Consider the following 2,986-nt stretch of genomic DNA (forward strand, 5'->3'; position numbering starts at 1 on the left):
TTCAACAGTGCACATCCTACAAATCTGGGTCTATTTGCACTGTAATTCAAGATGAAGGCCTGATTTTAGTTTTCAGCATCTCAACCCTACAGCTGTAGGAGACCAAGGTCTCCATTGGGGCAGATATAAAAGCTGTCAGATCATTTATGTAGCATTTAAGCTGGAAACTCAAATTCCTAAGCTAATTCTTTATTTTTCCCACTTTTTCCAGCAACATTATTAGGAGAATCATGTCAACCTACTATTCATTAGTTTGCCAAGAACGTTCAAAAGCATCATAGACACAATTCCCCAAGTCCTTGATCCTTATAAATGGTTGGTAAGGAGTAACCAATGGTGATATTTTGTTTATCCCTTTTGCCATTTCAGGGCCATGGACTATCTGTGTTCTCTTAACTCCTAGAAATAGTGTTATTAGTGCCTTTAAACCTAATCAGATAAGAGAGCCATTTCCAGGAATTCCAGAACCAATTCATAAAACTCATGCCTAAAATTCTGTTCCTGTAAAACCATTCTAGGTACCAAAATCTGGATGAGGCTTTTCCAGGGAAATAAAATAATAGGCAATTATGTACACACACAAACTCACACATACACATACATTAGATTTATATATATATATATATATATATCTTCATATATATATATTCCTAAATATATATATACATACATATTTAGGAATTGGCTCACATGATTGTGAAGCCTGAGAAGTCTCAAGAACTGCAGTCAGCAAGCTGTTGACCTGGGAAAGCCAATAGTATCATTTCAGCCCACATCCACAGACCTGAGAACCAGGAGAACCAATGGTGTCAGTTTCAGTCTCAATCTACAGGCTTCAAACCCAGGAGATCTGATGGTATAAGTTCCAGCTCAAAAGCCTGCAGGCTTGAAACCCAGGAGTAGTTGATGTTACAATTTGAGTCAGAAGACAGGAAAACAAACAAACAAACAACAACAACAAAACTATTGTCCCAGCTCAATCAGTCAGGCAAGAGGAATGCCTACTTATTTATGATCAGGTCAGATTTTTGCTCTATTCCAGCCTTCAGCTGTGTGGATACAGGCCATTTACATTAGGAGGCCAATCACATTACTCAGTCTACTGATTAAAATGTTAGTCTTATCCAAAAACACCTACAGAGACACACTGAGAAAAATGTTTGACCAAATATCTGGGCACACAATGGCCCAGTCAAGTTGACACACAAAATTAATTATCATGAATACTCACCTCAAGAGTTTACACAAATATTAAATGAGATAATAGATATAAGTACCTAGTTAAGCCCAAGTATATAGTATACTTTCAACAAATGTTGATCATTGTCAGAATTAGTTATTACTATTAAGTTCATGGTAGAAAATGTGTTAAGTATTGGTCCAAGAATAGCAAGGTTGAGAGTAGAACTGGGCCACTACTCTACCAGATTCTGGAAAACCAAGGCTAAGAATAATTTCTTTAAAGATTATGCTGATACTAGATTCTTCTTGGGAGTAAAAGGCTTACACTTATCATTGATCCCTGTGGAAATTTTACCTCCTAGTTTTGTGGGTTAAAGCCAAATCTTAAGTGCCTTACTACTTCTAAGCACAGGCACTTTAAGAGCGCAAAGAAGTATTGGAGAGAGGTATAGATTTAAGTGAAAGTTCATACCAAATTTTTAAACTTGAATCATATGATTTGATTTAGTCTCTTAATCTATAATAGTTAATGTAAGTTTCTTTTGCTTCTTCCTAGAAAGAATGACACTAAGGGTTTGATAGTAAAACATATATACTAATGGATAGATTTTCGAGCATGTCTGGTTTCACAGTGATAACACTGATTAGGACCATGCACACAGACATTCTTGATTACAGGTCTTACAGCCATCATGTTAAAGATTTGCCTCCAGCATTCACGCACACAGGCTGCTCTACATTGCCACAGCTTTGCATCCATGATTATTATTTTTCAATTTTAAATTATGCATTGAAGCCATATTTACAAGTGCACATATCATAAATGTACAGATTATTAAATTGTTACAAAGTGTGTAGTCTTATAAGCAAGAGCCAGATCAATAAATACAAGATTTTAATCATTAGTTTCCTGCTGCTGTAAGAATATAGACCCTTAACCCCTAGAATGAAAGCAAACTGCCATTCTATAATTAACAAAGTAGCATCTATGGTTAGAGTCAGGGTTCAACTCTCAGCTCCACCACTGGCTAATCCCTCTCTGCCTAACTTTTCTCATTTGTAAAATAAGCATAATAATATACCTATCTCATGGGTATATTAAATGAGTTAATACATGTGAAGAGCTCAGAAATGCCTGGCTCATAAGAAGCTCTCAATAAATGTAAGCCATATTTATTGCATAGTTCATTTCCCCTCATACTACTTGTTACCAGATGGTGCCTGAAATGACATGAAGTGCTTGCTGAATGAATAGGAAGGAAAAATAAGAGTCCTTTACCTAACAGAATATAAAGTTTCAATGAAATTACACCATGCAGAGAAAGCAATTTGTCCTGTTTACATGGAAGACAAACAAGGAACTGGACTTTGGCTTTGAGCTGTGTGAATGGGAGATGGCATTGCTTCCGTGACCCACATTCACATTCAATAACAAGACCAGAGAGAAACAGCTTTTAGGAGCCCAACAGGAATAGTCACCTAAGAGTTGCTATTTGACTAAACAGCTACTCCATTCTTTTCTTCTACACAGCCGTTCCTTGCACCTTTCAACTGTGTGGCAATATGACTCTCCTGAGATTGAGAAACAGTGTGTCAGGTTCCATTCATCCTTAACATAACAGAGGAGTGGTAGCTACAGTATACCAGAAAGGGAGCTTTCATTGATCTGCAGCACTCTGTTTCCGTCACAGGGAAGAATCTTCTTGCAACCAGGGCACTAGAGAACTGAACAGCCAAGTAAAATATTGGGCAACATCGAGTCACCCGCACGCCCACATAGAGTCCCAATTTAGCAAAAGAGTAA

At 37.2% G+C, this 2,986-nt stretch overlaps 1 annotated feature.

The window, feature by feature from the left end:
* Positions 2,412 to 2,706: an enhancer, noted in NCBI's record as "tiled region #10301; HepG2 Activating DNase matched - State 5:Enh". NCBI's record gives its function as "activates a minimal TATA promoter and a strong SV40 promoter by Sharpr-MPRA in HepG2 cells {active_cell/tissue: HepG2}" and the evidence as "EXISTENCE:reporter gene assay evidence [ECO:0000049][PMID:27701403]".

This window comes from Homo sapiens, chromosome 20 (assembly GCF_000001405.40).
Source record: "Homo sapiens chromosome 20, GRCh38.p14 Primary Assembly".
In the NCBI taxonomy this organism is placed as follows: Eukaryota; Metazoa; Chordata; class Mammalia; order Primates; family Hominidae; genus Homo; species Homo sapiens.